The sequence below is a fragment of the Homo sapiens genome, chromosome 3 (assembly GCF_000001405.40).
Source record: "Homo sapiens chromosome 3, GRCh38.p14 Primary Assembly".
Lineage (NCBI taxonomy): Eukaryota > Metazoa > Chordata > Mammalia > Primates > Hominidae > Homo > Homo sapiens.
In genome coordinates, this window is record NC_000003.12 from 142,191,449 (window position 1) to 142,211,612 (window position 20,164).

The 20,164-nt window shown below is 38.2% G+C and overlaps 1 protein-coding gene across 4 annotated transcripts in view; it reads right to left on the reverse strand.

Annotated features, from left to right (window-relative positions):
* Positions 1 to 20,164, reverse strand: part of GK5 (glycerol kinase 5) — a 68,059-nt gene that overhangs the window by 33,922 nt on the left and 13,973 nt on the right. For 3 of the 4 annotated variants that reach the window (NR_033289.2, NM_001039547.3, XM_047447897.1), the window contains exons 4-5: positions 13,247 to 13,340; positions 7,354 to 7,485 (exon numbers count right to left, since the gene is read on the reverse strand). Coding sequence is in view for 3 of the 4 variants with exons in the window: in NM_001039547.3 (NP_001034636.1) it covers positions 7,354 to 7,485; positions 13,247 to 13,340 (226 nt within the window). In the remaining variant the exon portion in view is untranslated. Of the gene's footprint in view, positions 1 to 7,353; positions 7,486 to 12,768; positions 12,810 to 13,246; positions 13,341 to 20,164 lie in introns of those variants that run through there. The other variant, XM_024453436.2, reaches the window with a different exon arrangement.

A 20,164-nucleotide genomic window follows, 5' to 3' on the forward strand; every position in this document is an offset into this window, starting at 1 on the left:
AGCCCAGCACTTTGGGAGGCCAAGGTGGCAGGATCACTTGAGCTCAAGAGTTTGAGGACAGCCTGGGAAACAGCGACACTCTATCTCTATTAAAAGTGAAAAAATTTGGCTGGGCGCTGTGTCTCTTGCCTGTAATCCCAGTACTTTGGGAGGCCGAGGCAGGTGGATCACTTGAAGTTAGAAGTTCAAGACCAGTCTGGCCAATATGGTGAAACCCCATCTCTACTAAAAATACAAAAATTAGCCTCCTATAATCCCAGCTACTTGGAAGGCTGAGGCAGGAGAATCACTTGAACCCAGGAAGTAGAGGTTGCAGTGAGCCGAGATGATGCCAATGCACTCAACCTGGGTGACAGAGTGAGACTCTGTCTCTAAATAAATAAATAAATAGTGAAAACATTAGCCGGGCATGGTGGCACACGCCTGTAGTCCCAGTTACTCAGGAGGCTGGGGCAGGAAGCTCACTTGAGCCCATGAGTTTTGAGGCTATAATGAGCCACGATCATGCCACTGCACCCCAGCCTGGGTGACAGAGCAAGAATCTGTCTCAAAACAAACAAACAAAAATTTTTTTAATGGCAAAAGATCTGAACAGACACCTCACCCAAGATATACTGATGGTAAATAAGCACATGAAAATATGCTCTGTATCACAAGGCATTAGGGAACTGCAAACAATGAATATTACTACACACCTATTGAAACAATAAGATACTACTACACACCTATTAAAATAGCTAAAATCCAAAGCACTGACAACAGCAAATGTTGGCAAGGATACGGAGCAAGAGGAACTCTCCAACTGTTGGTGGGAATACAAAATGACACAGCTACTTTGGAGGATAGCTTGATAGTTCCTTACAAAACTAAATGCAGTCTTACCATATGATCCAACAATCATACACCTATTTACTCAAATGAGTTGAAGATTTATGTCCAAATAAAAACCTGCACCCAAAAGTGTATAGCAGTTTTATTCATAATTGCCAAAAACTGGAAGTAACCAAGATGTTTTTCAATAGGTAACTGGATAGGCCAGGCACGGTGGCTCATGCTTGTAATTCCAGCAGTTTGGGAGGCCAAGGCAGGTGGATCACTTAAGGTCGGGAGGTCGAGAGCAGCCTGGCCAACATGATGAAATCCCGTCTCTACTAAAAATACAAAAATTAACTGGGCATGGTGGCAGGCACCTGTAATCTCAGCTACTTGGGAGGCTGAAGCAGGAGAATTGCTTGGACCTGGGAGGTAGAGGTTGCAGTGAGCTGAGATCATGCCACTGCACTCCAGCCTGGGCGACAGAGTGAGACTCTGTCTCAAAAAAAAAAAAAAAAATGTGATTGGATAAACTGTGCCACATTCAGACAATGGAATATTATTAGGTGATAAAAAGAAATGAGCTAACAAGGCACAAAAATACATGGAGAAACCTTAAATGCATATTGCTAAGTGAAAGAAGCCAGTCTGTAAAGTCTATATACTATATGATTCCAACTATATGATATTCTGGAAAATACAAAGCTAGAGACAATAAAAATATCAGTGTTACCCAGGGTTCAGAAAGAGATGTGAGTAGGTGAAGGACAGGGGATTTTTCAGGACAGTGAAACTACAGTGTATAATAGTACTGCAATGGTAGATACATTACATTAATAATAATGTTTCCATATTGGTTCATTAATTGTAACAGATGTACCACCGTAATACAAGATGCTAATAACAGCAGAAACTGTTGGGGAGTAAGGGCATATGGAAACTATATTTACTGCTGAATGTTTCTGTAAACCTAAAACTACTCTAAAATTAAAGTGTATTAATTTTTTAGAAAACAAAGGACTGAGGTACTTCACAAAAGGATATACAAATGGTAAGTATGTGAAAAGATATCAATTTTGTTAGGAAATAGAGTAATGCAAATTAAAGCCACAATGAAATTGAGAAGTGTGAGTTTTCCCATACTGTTCCTTTTTCAAGATTCTTTTGCTAATCTGGGTTCCTCAAATTTCTATGTGAATTTTAGGATCAGCTTGTCTGCTACAAAAAAAAAAAAACAAAAAAAAAAGCAGAAATTTTGGTAGAAATTGTGTTGTACCTGTAGATAAATTCGAAGAATACTATAATCTTAACAGTATTAAATATTCCAATCCATGTATATAAGATGTCTTTCCATTTATTTAGGCCTTCATTAACTGTATTCAACAATGTTTTGTACTTTTCAAAGTATATATTTTGTAGTTAAGCTTATTCATACGTATTTTATTCTTTTTGATGTTTTTGTAAATGAAACTGTTTTCTTTCTTTTTTGTGTGTGGGTAGACAGCATCTCGCTCTGTTGCCCAGGCTGGAGTGCAATGGTGTGATCTCAGCTCACTGCAACCTCTGCCTCCCCAGTTCAAGTGATTCTCCTGCCTCAGCCTCCCACATAGCTGGGATTACAGGAGTCCACCACTATGTCTGGCTAATTTTTGTATTTTTAGTAGAGACGGGGTTTCACCATGTTGGCCAGGCTGGTCTCGAAATCCTGATCTCAGGTGATCCACCCCCCTCGGCCTCCCAAAGTGCTGGGATTACAGGCATGAGCCACTGCGTCCAGCCAAAATTGTTTTCTTAATTTCACTTTCTAGTGTTCATTGCTAGTATATAGAAACACGATTTTTAGCTGTGTGCGGCGGGTCACACCTGTAATCCCAGCACTTTGGAAGGCTGGGGTGGGAAGATTACTTGAGCCCAGGAGTTCAAGAGCAGCTAGGACAAAATAGTGAGACCTTGTTTCTACAAAAAATTTAAAAATTAACTGGGGCCAGGCACGGTGACTCACACCTGTAATCCCAGCACTTTGGAAGGTCGAGGCGGGCAGATCACTTAATGTCAGGAGTTCGAGACCAGCCTGGCCAACATGGCGAAACCCCGTCTCTACTAAAAATACAAAAGTTAGCTGGGCGTTGTGGCGCACGCCTGTAGTCCCAACTACTTGGGAGGCTGAGGCAGGAGAATCACTTGAGCCTGGGACGCAGAGGTTACAGTAAACCAAGATCATGCCACTGCACTCCCTACTGGATGACAGAGTAAGACTCCATCTCGAAAAAAAAAAAAAAAATTAACTGGGCATGGTGGTGTGCGCCTGTAGTCCCAGCTACTCTGGCGGCTGAAGTAAGAGGATCTCTTGAGCCTGGAGGTTGAGACTACAGTGAGCTGCGATCATGCCACTGTACTCAAGCCTGGGTGACAGACTCTGTGTCAAAAAAGAAAATTTTTTTTTTTGTATATTGATCTTATACTCTCCCACCTTACTAAACTCATTTATAATATTAGTGCTAATTTTTTTAGGAAATTCCTTAGGATTTTCAATATACAAGATCATGTCATCTGCATCATAGAGATAGTTTTACTCCTTCCTTTCCAATCTAGTTGCCTTTTATTACATTGTCATGCTCAACTGCCCTGGCTTAGAACCTCCCATACAATGTTAATTACAAGTGGTGAGAGTGGAAATCTTTGTCTTGTTCCCGAACTTAGGAGAAAAACATTCAGTTTTCAACTATTAAGTATGGTGTCGGCTGTGGGTTTTTCAAAGATCAGGTTGAAGGAGTTTCCTTCTATTCCTAGTACGTTGAGCATTTTATCATGAAGAGGGGCTAGATATTGTCAAATGCTTTTTTCTATATCTACTGACATGATCATGTGTTTTTTTGTCCTTTATTCTATTAATATGGTGTATATTAATTTTCTATTTTTTTACATTTACCAGTTTTTATAAAAGATCCATATTAATTGATTTTTTGAATGGTAAACCAATCCTGTATTCTTGGGATAAATCCCACTTAGTCATGATATATAATCCTTTTTATATGTTGCTGGATTTGACTTGCTAATATTTTGTTGAAGTTTTGTGTGTGTGTGTGGTTTCTTTCCAGAGACAGGGTCTTGCTCTGTCATCCAGGCTGGAGTGCAGTGGTGGTGTGATCCTGGATCATTGCTGTCTCAAACTCCTGGGCTCAAGCAATCCTCCCACCCCAGTCTCCCAAGTAGCTGGGACTACAGGTGTGTACTACTATACCCAGCTAATTTTTTAATTTTTAATTTTTTTGGAGAGATGGTGTCTTGCTATATTGCCCAGGCTGGTCTTGAACTCCTGGGCTCAAGCAATACTCTTGCCTTAGACTCCCAAAGTGCTGGGATTACAGGCATGAGCCACCACACCCAGCCTTGTTGAGGATTTTTGCATTTGTATTCATAAGGAATATTGGTCTATCAGTTTCTTTTCTCTTGATGTCTTTGATCTGGTTATCAGGGAATACTGGCCTAAAAGAAAGAGCTGGGAAGTATCTCTCACTCCAATAATGGAAGTATAATCCACTCCAATAATGGAAGTATAGTGGGGTATTAAAGTCTCCAACTATTACTATTCAATTGTCTATTTTCCCCTTCTATTTTTTGGAAGAATTTGTGAAAGGATTGTGTTAATTCTTCTTTAAACTTTTGGTAGAATTCACTAGTAAAGCCATCTGGCTCTGGGCTTTTCTAGGTGAGAATTTATTATTTATTACTTCAATCTCTTTACTTGTTATAGATTTATTCAGATTATTTATTTCTCCTCGAGTTATTTCCAGTAGTTTGTGTATTTCTAGGAAATTTTTCATTTTATCTTGTTATCTAATTTGTTGGCATGCACTTGTTCATGGTATTGCCTATTAATCCTTTTTATTTCTGTGAGGTCAGTATTAATATCCATAATTTCATAATAATTCATAATTTTAGTTATTTGGGTTTTCTCTCGTCTTTGTCAGTTTAGCTAATCTTTTCAAAGAAGCAACTTTCGGTTTTATTGATTTTCTTCACTGTTTTTCTATTCTCTATTATATTAATTTTGTTCTAATTCCATTATTTCTTTCCTTCTGCTTGTTTTGAATTTAGTTTGCTCATCTTTTTCCATGTCGTAAGGTAGAATGGTAGACTATTGACGTGATATTTTGCTTCTTTTTAAATATACTCTTCTACATGTAATATCATTTTGCTATAAATTTCCTTCTAAGTACTTTATCTGCATCTAATAAGTTTTGGTATGTTGTATCTTATTTTCATTCATCTCAAAGTATTTCTTAATTTCTCTTATGATTTCTCCTTGGACCCTTTGGTTATTTTTAAGTGTGTTGTTTAATCTTCATATATTTTTGAATTTCCCAAGTTTTTTCTGTTACTTTTAATTCGAAGCCTTTATGGTCAGACAACAGACTTCGTATAATTTCAACCCCTTTAAATTTATTGAGGCTTGTAGTATGGCCTAGCCTATGATCTATCCTGGAGAAAATTCCATGTACACTTCAAGAGAGTGTATATTCTGTTCTTGGGTAGAGTTTTCTATAAATGTCTGTTAGGTCTAGTTAGTTGTTACTGTTAATCAAATTTTCTACTTCCTTGTTAATCTTCTGTCTAGTTATTCTATCCATTATTGAAAGTGAGGGTCAAGCGCGGTGGCTCTCGCCTGTAATCCCAGCACTTTGGGAGGCCGAGGCAGGTGGATCACGAGGTCAGGAGATCAAGACCATCCTGGCCAATACAGTGAAACCCCATCTCTACTAAACATACAAAAAATTAGCCAGGTGCGGGGGCGGGTGCCTGTAGTCCCAGCTACTCGGGAGGCTGAGGCAGGAGAATGATGTGAATCTGGGAGCTGGAGCTCGCAGTGAGCCGAGAGCACGCCACTGCACTCCAGCCTGGGTGACAGAGTGAGACTCCGTCTCAAAAAAAAGAGAAAAAAAAAAGAAAGTGGGGTACTGAAGTCTCCAACTATCACTGCTCAACTTTCTATTTTTCCCTTCAATTCTGTCCATTTTTGCTTCATGTATTGTGGACCTCTGTTATTAGGTGTTTATAACTGTTATATATTTATGATGAATTCACCATCTTATCATTATAAAATTCCCTTTTTATCTCTAGTAACATGTTTTTGTTTTAAAGTCTATACTACCTGATGTTAATATAACCACTCCAGCTTCTTACAGTGACTGTTTACATGATATATCTTTTCCACTCACTTACTTTTAACCTCTTTATATTTTTTAAATCTTAAGTGTGTCCCTTATAGACAACATATAGTTAGATCTTGTTTTTTTATCCAGTCTAAAATCACACTCAGATATTACTTACCAACTAGGATGGCTAAAATATAGACTAATAATGTCAATTATGACAGTAAATGAAATAAAAAGTCCTCTGATCACATACTGATACTGTGTAAATTGTTATTATCACTTTGCAAAAGTGTTTTGACATTATCCTTTAAAGGTAAAGATACATGGCTGGGCATGGTGATTCATGCTTGTAATCCCAGCACTTTGGGAGGCTGAGGCAGGCAGATCACGAGGTCAGGAGTTCAAGACCAGCCTGGACAACATGGTGAAACCCCATCTCTACTAAAAATACAAAAACTAGCTGGGCATGGTGGCATGCGCCTGTAATCCCAGCTACTCAGGAGGCTGAGGCAGGAGAATCGCTTGAACCTGGGAGGCAGAGTTTACAGTGAGCTGAGATCGCACATTGCACTCCAGCCTGGGTGACAGGGTGAGACTCTGTCTCAAAAAAAAAAAAAAAGGTGAAGATATATATACACATTCATGCCCTAAAAATTCCATTCCTATGTATAGACATAGCAATTACATGTACACCAAGAGATGCATTATTCATAACAGCTAAAAACAGGAAATAACCCAAATGTACATGAATAGAATAGACAATAAACTATGGTAAAATCATACATTGAACAGCAAATAGCAATGAAAATATAAGCAAAGTAATTTACACACAACATTGCTATATGTCAAAAACATAATATTGAGCAAAAGGAGTCTGACACAAAAGAATTCCACTGATATAAATCAAAGATATGGCGGGGAGTGGCGGCTCACGCTTGTAATCCCAGCACTTTGGGAGGCTGAGGCAGATGGATCACCTGAGGTCAGGAGTGTGTGACCAGCCTGGCCAACATGGTGAAACCTCATCTCTACTAAAAATACAAAAAATTAGCCGGGCGTGGTGGCACGCGCCTGTAGTCCCAGCTACTTGGGAGGCTGTGGCAGGAGAATCACTTGAACCTGGGAGCTGGAGATTGCAGTGAGCCGAGATCACGCCATTGCACATCAGCCTGAGCAACAAGAGCAAAACTCTGTCTCAAAAAGAAAAGCAAAACAAACAAAATAAGATGCCACTTTGTCTTCCATTCCAATATGTGGTAGACACTTAATTTTCCCTCAAATAATCAAATTACTATCTTTATTCCTTTAATTTTTTCTTCCCCATAGTCTTTATATGGTTTCCACATACACACATATTTTCCACATACACACAGTATTTTCTTACCTCAGTCAAGTTCTGTAAAATCCAGACCAATCTCAAAGAAGTCTGCTGGGTTGTGAAAGTGAACAAACTGGCTGTAAAAAGTCGTTTACTTCTAGTGAAAAAGTGAAGCACTCGGCAAGAACTGTGAAATATCTATATTTTAAAAAACATATTTTAGGAAAATGCATTTAGTAGTGTTTAAAATTTCCACATCAATTCTATATACATGCAAACAAACCCAATAACAAGTCATTTAACTACTTATAATAGTGTTTTCTGCAATTAAGAAAATAAAAAACAGCAATATTATCCTAAATGGGCAGTTTGTATTCTAACATATGAAATGCAACATATCTACTTTGAATTATTTTAGCAAATACCAGATGCTCAGGTACTTATTATAAACTTTTTTAAAAAAAAACAACTATATTTTTACCTCTCTACCTATTTTTAACTATGATAGTTAAAGGAGAGAATCTAGGAAGGAGGCTATATTTGTAGTATTCTTATTTCAGTGGGATATGTACACTTTAAGTTTATTGCAGGCCTCCCAGATAAATCTATACTATTTAGTAGAATAGCATTAATTCACTACTATTCCAATAGTAATAACATCTATATAAAGTTATCAGCTAATCTTTGATTTTGAAGGCTCATAGTCCAAATATTTTCACATTAATCATAATCTTATATCTTAGCTTCAATCTGCCTCTATGAATCAAAGACCTGAGAACTCTTAATACTAGACAACGAAGGATGAGCTCTTATTAGCTTTTTTCTTTCCTATTAGAAATTAAGTTTGCACTAACACAGACAGAAATTTCCCTATACATTAAGTACTTAAAATCTGGTTGTATGATTTTATTTAATACTACCTATACTTATCTAATGATCAAAGATAAGACATAAGCAAAATCTTTAATTTACAAAAAGCCTTAGGTATACAGAAAACAAGCTTTGAGTTTTAAGGTCTTTAAGACATACTAGGAAAAAAAAAAAAACCCTATCCTGCCACACACTACAGGGATGTAGATGGACACTTCAACTTGTAAAACTGATGTTTTACAAAACACTTAAGAAGTATTGCCCACTTCTTGTTGAACTTACCCACTTTTGTTAATCCTACCTCACTCCCTAAAATAAATTTAAAGATGTTGGTTTATTTGTGAAAAATAGTAATATAAATTTTTTTCTTTCATTTTTAATTGATAACACATCAATTAATAAAATTTGTAGACTCAGTTCTTTCAGTCTAGTCCTTTTAACTTCCTTCTCATCTTATTCAGTGCTCACACCTTCTTTATTTCTATATATATATACACACACACACACACACACACAAACACATACACACACACATACATATGGTTTTTGGTTTTTTTTGAGACAGAGTCTCACTCTGTTCCCCAGGCTTACATTTTTTTGCTTAGAGTGCTGGAGTGCAATGGCGCAATCTCAGCGCAATGCAACCTCTGCCTCCCAGGTTCAAGCAATTCTCCTCCCTTAGCCTCCAAGTAGCTGGGATTACAGGTGTGGATCACCACGCCTGGGTAATTTTTGTACTTTTAGTAGAGATGGGGTTTCACCATGTTGGCCAGGCTGGTCTCGAACTCCTGACTTCAGGTGATCCGCCCACCTTGGCCTCCCAAAGTGCTGGGATTACAGGCGTGAACCACTGCACCCTGTCATTTCTTTATATTTTACATGGCATATAGATTTTTCACATTATTTATTAAAACATAAGACTTTTTAAAAGTATTTAAAGTGACCACCCATAAGCCTTCTTCTGATTTGTTATAAGAAATAATTTAAACTAAAATGGGCAATTCCTCTTTATACACCCTACACTATTCTCATAAAAAATTAGATTTAGGACACTTCTGAGATCTTCTGTTAAAATGTAGATAACTCAGGATGGGTGGTGAGGTCATACAAAAATATTACAAGCTCTAATAACTGCACTTTTAGACAACATATAAACAATTAGCATCTTCATTCATATATCTAATGAGTATTTACTGAGTAACTTATAGCATACCAAGGACTGTTGCTAGGCCTTGTAAAAACAAATTGAACAATATGGGCAGAATCCTTGTCTTTTTAACATTTACATTTTAGTGAGAAGACAAATAAGCAATCAAGTCAATAAATAAGATGATTTAAGAAGACAGACTGTAAAATGAATCATTATTTAACATGCTACTAAGAAATGCATCCTGATTTCAGAGATGTTAAAATATAACTTATACATTGCTGATGGGAAAGTAAATGGTATAGTCACTCTTGAAAACAGTTTGGCAGATCCTTACAAAAGAAAACATGCAATTACCATATGACCTTGAGGTTTTTATCCCAGAGAAATGAAAAATTACATTCACAGAAAATTCTATACAAAGAACGTTCATAAAAGCTTTATTTGTAATAGCCAAAAACTGGAATCAGCACAGATGTCCTTCAACAAGTGAATGGTTAAATAAACTGTGATACAGCTGTACTATTGAATACAACTCAGCAACAGAAAGGAATAAACTACTGATACAGGCAACAACTTGAATGAATCTCCAGGGAATTATACTAAGTGAAAAAAGCAAATCCCAAAAGGTTATATATTTAAAAGTATAATCCTATGTATATAACATTTTTCAAATTAGAACATTTTTTAAATGGAGGACAGATTAGTGGTTGCCAGGAGCTAGGAATGAGAGAGGGTAGGGAGGTGTATAGGAGAGTGGTAGATATAGTTACAGAAGAACAACACAAGAGATCTTTGTAGTGACGGAACTGTTCAGTATCTTGCATATGCTCCTGGATGCATGAACCTACAGATAGGAAAAAATTGTATAGAACTTATATACATACACATACACACACACAAACACAGACAAATATAAAGTAAAACTGGGGAAATCCTAATAAAATTTATGGATTGTATTAATGTCAATGTCCTGGTTGTGATGTTATACTATAGTTTTTCAAAATTTTACCATGGGGAGAAAGTGCAAAGAGTCTAAGGGATCTCTGTACTGTTTCTTACAACTGCATGTGAATCTATAATTATTTCCATTTAATTTTCAGTTTAAAAAATGTGTATCTAAGAATCTTTGAAATTTAGTAAGTACAATGAAGGAAACAAAGGGCAACATAAGAGATTGAGGGCAAGGGGGTTCCTTTAAGTAGGGTGGCAGGGAAGGGTTCCCAGATGTGCTACATGAGCTCGACCCTAAAAAGATGAGAAGGATCCAGCCACGATGGCAGAGAGACCCCGTGCATGTACAATGGCCTTAAGGTAAGAAAGGGCTTGAGTGCTACAAGAACAAAAACAGGCTGAAAAAGATGCAGTTGCTAATCTTTAGCAACCTCAGGGAGAAAGAGGTCTAGGAGGTGGTCAGAAGTGTAGAAAGAGCCAAACCTTGGTAAGGAGTTGGGATTTTATGCTAAAAGCAAAGAGAAGAAAGCCTTAGCCATCATCAGGCAAGAATAAGAACAAAAAAGTAAGCGGAAGACCGGGCATCTGGGGAGACTGGAGGAAAGCAACAGTGGCAAGAGATTGCAAACACACCTCAATTACTTCACCATTTTGCTTCAGACTAGCCTTGGCCAAACTAATGACATTGGTGCCAGTTCTGGCAAAAACACTCTAAACATTTCCAAAGGCCACAATCAAACCATTAGCAACTGGAAAGGGATGATTGCAAAGTGGGGCTCCTTCACTGCCAGGACAGGCCCTAGAATTATGTGTGCTAAACTGTGAAAGCCTGTGTTTGTATAAATTTTTTTGCTAAGAGAACCAAAACTTTGATCATGTGCATGTTCAATATCAAGTAGACAAAAGTGCTTTAAATGCTCAATTTTGTGCTTGAGGTCACAGTTCTGCATTATGATTGGAAATTTGAGGCTTAGGCATGGTGGTTCATACCTGTAATACCAGCATTTTGGGAGGCTGAGGTGGGCGGATCACGTGAGGCTAGGAGTTCAAGACCAACCTGACCAACATGATGAAACCCTGTCTCTACTAAAAACACAAAAATTAGCCAGGCATGGCGGCATGTGCCTGTAATCCCAGCTACCCAGGAGGCTGAGGAAGGAGAATTGCTTGAACTCGGGAGGTGGAGGTTGTGACAAAGGGAGACTCCATCTCAAAACAAACAAACAAAAAAGATTTGAAATATGAGACATATTACAGAAGTAAATGTTTTCAAATCACAATTTTTCTTTTCAAATCACAATTTTTTTCAAAGCAATAAAAGTGTTAAACACCTCAATGACCAAATTAAAGAATGTTTGATGAACTATTAAAAACTAAAATTATATATTAAGGTATAAAATTATAGATTATAAATTACATAATTTAAAATTATACAATTGAGGGTTCATGACATTTCCTTATAACCACTTTTACTCCCTCAATTACTGTGTCCTTCTTATTAACAGCACCTCTCACAAGTTATTGCAGCAAGGTACATTTTTCTATATTAAACTATCAAAAAGGAAAATCAATTCAGGTGAGATTATGGCAAAATTGTTTCACTCATGCATTGCTGTTATATTCCATAATATATTCACATTTGTTTCCATATTAAATTAATATCATCAAATACTTATCAAGTAAAACTGATGCTGTAGACAGTCCCCTGGGCGCCATCTGATACCAGTACACTAGCAGAGAAGGCATTTAACTGTGAGGCATTATAAGTATTAAAATAATTAATATGGGCCAGGCGCGATGACTGACGCCTGTAATCCCCGCACTTTGGGAGGCCAAGGCAGGCGGATCATCAGGTCAGGAGATCGAGACCATCCTGACTAACACGGTGAAACCCCGTCTCTGTTAAAAATAGAAAAAATTAGCTGGGCGTGGTGGCATATGCTTGTAGTCCCAGCTACTTGGGAGGCTGAGGCAGGAGAATCACGTGAACCCAGGAGGCAGAGGTTGCAGTGAGCTGAGATCGCGCCACTGCACTCCAGCTTGGGCGATAGAGCAAGACTCCATCTCAAAAAATAACAATAATAAAATAAAATAATTAATATGGAATATTGATTATGACATAAAATACTGTAGGTCTGACACCACTCGAGGAGCTGGAAAACTGTTTTACCCTTTGACTCGGGAATCTCACACTCAGGAGTGAGGGCAATTTGAGACAAATAACAGAAGAACAGCTGACTTCATGATGTTGCTATTGTCACTGTCACCATCATCATTGTCATTTACTGATGCCTACTATGTATCAGGCATAATTTGGTATTGTTGGCTTTGAGACAGGATCTCACCGTGTCACCCAGACAGAGTGCCCTGGAGTGCAGTGGCAATCACTGCAGCCTTGAACTCCTGGGCTCAAACAATCCTCTCACCTCAGCCTACCAAGTAGCAGGGACTAGGGGTCCACACCACCATGTTCAGCTAATTTTGCATTATTTGTAGAGATGAGGTCTTACCATGTTGCCCAAGCTGGTCTTGAACTTCTGGCCTCAAGCAATCCCCCTGCCTCAGCCTTCCAAAGTGTTGAGATTACAGGCGCGAGCCATCATGCCTGTAATGATAAGAGCTTCTAACAGTCTGCTAGTTATCTATAATATCTCAATATCCATCCTGAGCTTTTATAAAAGATGAAATTTGGGCATTTCATTCATCTAGTCTGTATCTTTTCCATTTCTCAAGGACAGAAACACAAATTCTCACTAACATGTGAAACTCTGGTCCACCACAAACCTCCTTAGAACTTCCTGAGGTACAAGTACTGAAGTCTACCACATACGCCTTTGATTGGCTATTATTAAACTTCACTGGAATGGGGAGTGTGTGCGTATGTCTTCTTAATGTCCTAAAACAAAATAGGTAGGAAATAATACAATTAAGGGACATTTACAGAAAAAAAAAACCAACAATATCCAAATCACACAAGAAAAAGATTACCTTCATAAGAAGAGAATTATTCCAAGATTTTACAAGTTCAACAGCTCTTAAGTCTTGCCAACTTATAAAGTTGTGAAAATGATTTCCTGTTTTCCTAGAAAGAATAAAACAGTATTTTGAGACCCAGCATAAATCAGAGACTATGTTAAAGATGTGCCATAAGAGAAAACAAAATTAGAGGCCATACTGTAATTGCAAAGTATAATTTAGTTACATGTGCCTTTCTGAATGATTTCTTCTTGATTTTATAAGTTGAACACACTGCACAACAATTATGTGACATATAGTATGAAATGTATATACTTCCAAAACCAAAACTAACTAAGGAAAAGGCCTTTGAAGACCTGCTCTACACACTTTAAAAGCAGATTTTTTAAAAGCCAATGCTTTTCCCCTTTACTGCACTTGTCCTGATACACGTAATCCAACAAAAACCTCCTGACCTACAGAAGAGCTGAAATATTGCCTGAGCCTAGTTCTACATCTGTTAACTTTAGGATTGGCTTAGCCATTGGCAACCTAACATGCTTACCAAAATCTCTCCAATAAATAGAAATTCAACAACTCTTGGGTCAATACTACAATAAAAGTACAGAGCTAAGAAATATAGAAGTAAAAAAAAAAATCCTTTTTCCTTTGCGGCTCCCGCAAATCAACCTCTGGCATCTACTAATCAACATCCAAGTCAAGTTTGCTTTCTACCCCAACTCCAGGCCTCCTCCTGTGAGACCTGAACCATGTTCAATTGCTAAGATTCATTCTCTACTTAAGCATTCCACACCCATGGTCATATCCTCACCTTTACATGGTCTACCACTCAAAGTCTAATGCTCCAATATTAGTCAGCACATAGGAAGAAAAGTTTTCAGTTTTCTCAATCTTACTCCTTAAATACCTGGCCTTCCAACTCACTGCAACCTTTAATCCCTCAAACATTCCCTTTTCTTCCGACCAACCACTCCTAACTTTGGCTACTTTCCCATATCTCATGGTCTATTACTTTAATAGCTTGCCATTGCACTCTCTAATACTTAACTGTAAAAAAAAATTGTGGCAAAATATACATAATATGAGGTTTACCATTTTACCTATTTTACGTGTACAATTCAGTGGCAGTAAGTACATTCACAACGTTGTGCAACCATCACCACTGTTTTTAAAACTCTCATCACCCCAAACAGAAGCTCTATAACAATTAGGAAATCATTCCCCATTCCTTCCTCACCCCATCCCTTATAGCCCCTATTCTGTTTTCAGTGTCTATACATTTGCCTATTCCAGGTATATCATATATAAGTAGAATTATACAATATTTGTTCTTTTATATTTGGCTTACTTCACGTAGTATAATATAACTTAGCTTTCTAGATTGATCCATGTTGTAGCATGTATCAGAAATGTATTCCGTTTTATGGCTGAACAATATTTCAACGTATTTATATACTACATACCATTTATCAATTCATCTGTTGGTACACACTTGGGTTGTTTGTACTCTTTGGTTATCGTGATTACTGCTGCTTTAATATTGTTGTGAAGTATCTGTTTGAGTCTTTGTTTTCAATTTTTTTAGGTATATACCTAGAAGTGGAACTGCTGGGTCATATAGTAATTCTATGTTTAACTTTTTGAGGAACTGGCAAACTGTTTTCCGCAGTCGTTGCACCATTTTACATTTCTACCAGTAATGTATGAGGGTTCCAATTTTTCCAAATCCTCACCAACACTTGTTATCTTCCTTTTTTTAAAATTCTCACCATTCTAGTGGGTGTGAAGTGGTATCTCATTATGGTTTTAATTTGCAATTCCCTGATTACTAATGACATTGAGCATCTTTGTGTGTGCTTATTGACCATCTGTGTATTACTCAAGTCCTTTGTCCATTTATGAACTGCATTGTTGCTTTCTTGTTGTTGAATTGTAGGAATTCTTTACATGTTCTAGATATTAACCCCTTACTAGGGATTAGGGATTAATATGTTACATGCTTCGAGGTTACAATTTGCAAATATTTTCTCCCATTCCATGACTTGTTTTAGACAGTATCTCTGAGGGATTATCTAATCTCAACCCTATTCAATGGGTAAAATCTTTGGGAGGATCCACTATCGTTAATTTTGTTCTGTGTATAATTTGTGCTATTGGTTTATTGTTCACGTGTAAAATTGGAAAAATTATTCTTCAATCCAATCGTGATCAGCACCAACCTATGATTGCTACGGTTCATTTAAATCAGAGAAAAGGGGGAGATGTAGGGAGACCCCCTGAAACTATGGCTACAGAATAAAAGATGAAATGCTCCTGATTATTGTAAATACAAAATTGCATGTAGGACTGTGTAAAGACAATGCCAGGTTGGACTGCCAGAATGAGCCAACAGCGGGTGATGTGCTTCCCCCTGCAGAAAGCCTATGAATGGACATGCAGTCAGGGAGGTTTCACATCACCAAGATTCCTATCCCAGAAAAGCAGATGTTCATAGCTCTGGGAATGGAATGTGACCCTTGTGGAGAGCCTATAAACGGACGCATGAGGGGGGTGCCTATCCATATGGATAAGATAGGGCTATAAACGCCCTCATCTTGCCACGGCTCTTCTAGGCCTCTTTAGGGTTAAGACATACTCCCTTCTGAGAATTTCTGGTCTAACTGGTTGTCTAGCTTCACGTCCTGTTTCCATGGATTGTTTCTAACCAGCTTTTGTTGCAACTGTTACTGCTGATCAATATCTTGCTAATCATAGGTTATGGAAAGATTGTGTTTCTGTTTTAAGGCTCTGTTAGAAATTACTGATGCACACATTATATTGTAAATTCTTATCTCTGTATACTGTACTTCTACATACAAATGTACTGTACTTCTACATACAAATGTTATGTTAAAGAATTACTTCATCCCCATGTGACCATCTCACCTCATAATCAAATGACCCTAAATCTCTCACTAACCTACCCCCGCCCTCACTAAACTTAATAATAAATGCTGGTATATCCAGTGCATTGTTGGCACCGCAGGACCAGAAGGCGGTGACCCCCCTGGACCCAGCTTTCACTATCTTGTTTGTGTCTATTATTTCTCAACCTGCTGATCCACCTAGGAACAAAGAGAGAGCCCCGTTGTATTGCGGGCTGCTGGCCAGATCACGCAATATTCACTCTGTTGATAGGGTCCTGTTTTTCACCTTTATTAATGGAAATCGCAACATTTACCTAGATCATGAGCATGTTACTTCTTTTCGCTTTAGAGATCCAAATGGTCACCATTATCATGAGTACAAATCAGAGGAGTGATTTCCTATTGTTTTAGTCCTCAATCTTGGATGAAATTACAAATCAAACCTACCAAGATGCACACCTTCCACGTTACATGCTGCAGGTGGTTTTCTGAAGCCTAACTGCATATTAGATATCAATGACTAAATTTTTTCAGACATTTTTTAAATGCAAATTGCACATTATGTCAAATTAATTTTAACATAGCTTACTTATTATTTATAATTAAATTTAGGGTAATTTTTCTACTTTGGAGAGTTCCAATAGTTAAGAAAATTGAAAAATTAGTCATCATAAACAAATGAAAAAATAAATGTCCTTTGATATATAAAGTCCAATTTATCTATTTTTTATTTTGTTAACTGCTTTTGATGTCATTTAAGGAATCACTGCCAAATCCAAAGTCATGATGATTTTCTCCTGTTTTCTTCTAAGAGTTTTTAGTTTATAGTTTAAGCTTTTAAATGTAGGTCTTTGATGCATTTTGGGATTCATTTTTGTATATGGTATTAGGTAAGGGTCCAATTTAATTCTTTTGCATGTGAATGTTCAGTTTTCCCAGCACCATCTGTTGAAAAAACTATTCTTGTTCTGCTGGCTGGTCTTAGCACCTTTGTCAAAGATCAGATTGTGTTTGATAAAGATAAAATCTATTGATATATAATTCTTCAGAGCCATTCTACAACAGCACATACTTATACACTTAAATCTGATGTTCAATCACTGGTTTCAGCAAAAATTTATAAGCCAATTTGTACCAGGAGTTGGGTACACAGCTATGAACAGAGACACACAGCACTTTTGCCCTGATGACTGTACTTTCTACCAGGGAATGTAAACAAATAATCAATTACTCAGTTGCTCACTTACAGCTGGAATACGCCCTATAAAGGATAAATAGAGGCCGGGCGTGGTGGCTCACGCCTGTAATCCCAGCACTTTAGGAGGCCGAGGAAGGCGGATCACGAGGTCAGGAAATCGAGACCATCCTGGCTAACATGGTGAAACCCCGTCTCTACTAAAAATACAAAAAATTAGCCGAGCGCGGTGGCGGGCACCTGTAGTCCCAGCTCCTCGGGAGGCTGAGGCAGGAGAATGGCGTGAACTCGGGAGGCAGAGCTTGCAGTGAGCCGAGATAGCACCACTGCACTCCAGCCTGGGCAAAAGAGTGAGACTCCGCCTCAAAAAAAAAAAAATGGATAAATAGAGGTGCCATGAGAGTATTTAACAGATGGCCCCTGTGTGGTGGTCAGTGAAGGCTTCAGAAATGGCAATGGATCTCAGCTCTGAAGGATAAGAAGGAATCAGAAGTATGAACATTCCCAACAAAATGTGCTATATGTTCAAATGTCCTAGAGCAAGATAAAGCGTGTCTTAGAGGAACTGAATGGCTAGTGTGGCTGAAAAGCAGTGAGGGGGAGAGACAAAATCACAAGATGAAAGTGGCATCATTAATTTATAACATAGAACAAGACAATCTAGAATACTGATTTTTCAAGTAATAGCATACATTCCAATATTCACTCAGCACTGACCTGGGTTTATTTTATCTCTATCAACAAAAAAAGGAAAAATGAAGGAAAAGTATAAATGGCAATGTTGTAAATTAATTGTCTTAAACCCTTCTAACACTTTACATCATTCTGTGGCTCTTAATATATTTTAAGTCATAAGTATTTGGTAAGACTCATTAATGTAAGTATCAAATACTACAATAAAAATCTATTTTGTGCAATGGGAATATAGAGTAATTTGTGTACCTATATAATGAGATTGTAAATTAGGGCTGGTATTCTTATTCATCTGTATACGCAGTGCAGCCCCCAGCACGGTGCATTACTCCCTGTGAGCCCTCAAACAGTTATGAGTGAATCCAGGCTCCCATGACTCACAGTTTGTGTTGCTAATTGGCACACACCCTGATCTGAAGTTAGCTGGCAGAAATCTCCCAAGAGACATTGACTAAAGAAACAAAACAGCTCGTGATTTTTTTTTTTTAGAACAAAAGGAATTTAAAAGAACCAAAATGGAAGTGTTATCAGTTAGAGTTATTTTAGAAAGCAGGCTAAACACACCACTTTTTGAATATATTGGAAAAAAAGCTTAACCTGAAGAACATGAAGAAAGCTCAAAGACTGAAAAAAGTTCGTAAGTTTCCTGGTCCCTAACAGGGGGATGGGGGAGAGATAGGGAGAAAAACAAAAAGAAAGTTCAAAGTTTTAGACCTCCTGACAGCAACTGTGAGGAAAATAATGTTTCTATGGCCATGAGGACAGAAATGCACCATGGATGCAGGAGGAAAAAAACAACAAGCTGGGAGGAGGAGCTGCTGGCCAGGACTGGAACGAACAATAGGTTTTTCCACAGGATCTAGTCTGTCTCTCCTTTTCTCTCACAAATGAACAATTAGTGCTTCTGGCTGGCCCTGTGCTGTGCCCATCTGTGTTGTGTCCCGGCTGTTTGCTAGGGCTCTTGTGGAATCTGTCAGCATCATACACCACATTGGCTCCCTGGGGCCCAATGAGCAGAATAGGCTCCGCTCCATTATTTTAATGTAAAAGAAGCACAAAGGCTTTCAGTCTTTCTTCAAAAAATATCCACTATTTCAGTTTCTACAAGCAAAGAATGTTCCCAAAACTCATGAAAGAATACAAACATTTCAAAAAAGAAAAAAGGACAGCCAAGATAAAAAACTCACAATGAATTGCTTTAGGAAGAAGTCTTATCCCTCTACAACACCACCACCACCAGTAAGGAAAGTGAACTGTCTTGAAATCTAACTCTTCTATTCCTTCTAATGGTGATGTATAGTCCTAGCATCAGACAAAAACTCTGCTTCCTAATATTCCGACCTTACTGTCATGAGTGATATGGTAGCCAGGTCCTGATGAAAGCAATCACTGGGGCCAATGGCCAAGTGAATATGACACATCCAATCAGTTCTTTCCCTGAGAATACTCCTCCCTCCACTTTCATCCATCCACTTCCCAGATTAGCGTTGGTCCTGCTTTGCTGGCTTTTTCTTCCCTGACTCACTTTAAATTTGGTGGGAGCAGGGACCCGCAGTCCAAATCCTTAGCTTGCTTTTCTTTTCTCCACATAATCTCTACCAGAGAACACACCTATTTTTTGAGACTTCATCTACACCAATGGTTCCAAATTGGGGATGTCCCCAGGGGACGTTCAGCAATGTTTTGAGACATTTATGGTTGGTACAAATGGTGGTGAGGTGGGCTGGGGTGCTACTGACATCTAGTGGGTAGAGGCCAGGGATGCTGCTGAACAGCTGCAACACCACAGGACGGTCCCCATGACAACGAATTATTCAGCTCAAAATGTCAACAGGGTCACTAAGATTAGATACCTTATCTGTACAGGTAAGTTTAATTCATTCACCCCTTCATCTGACAATATACTACTGTATAAGATTTATTTAAGATTTGCCATAACCAAGGCCAGTGCTGGGGAGTGGAGTAAGCACAGAGGAACTGCAGATGTAGGCATCAATCTGAGATGCAGCATGTCCTGAAAAAAAAGAGTACTGGGCCGAGCATGGTGGCTCACGCCTGTAATCCCAGCGCTTTGGGACGCCAAGGCAGGCAGATCACTTGAGGCTCAGAGTTCAAGAACAGTCTAGGCAACATGGT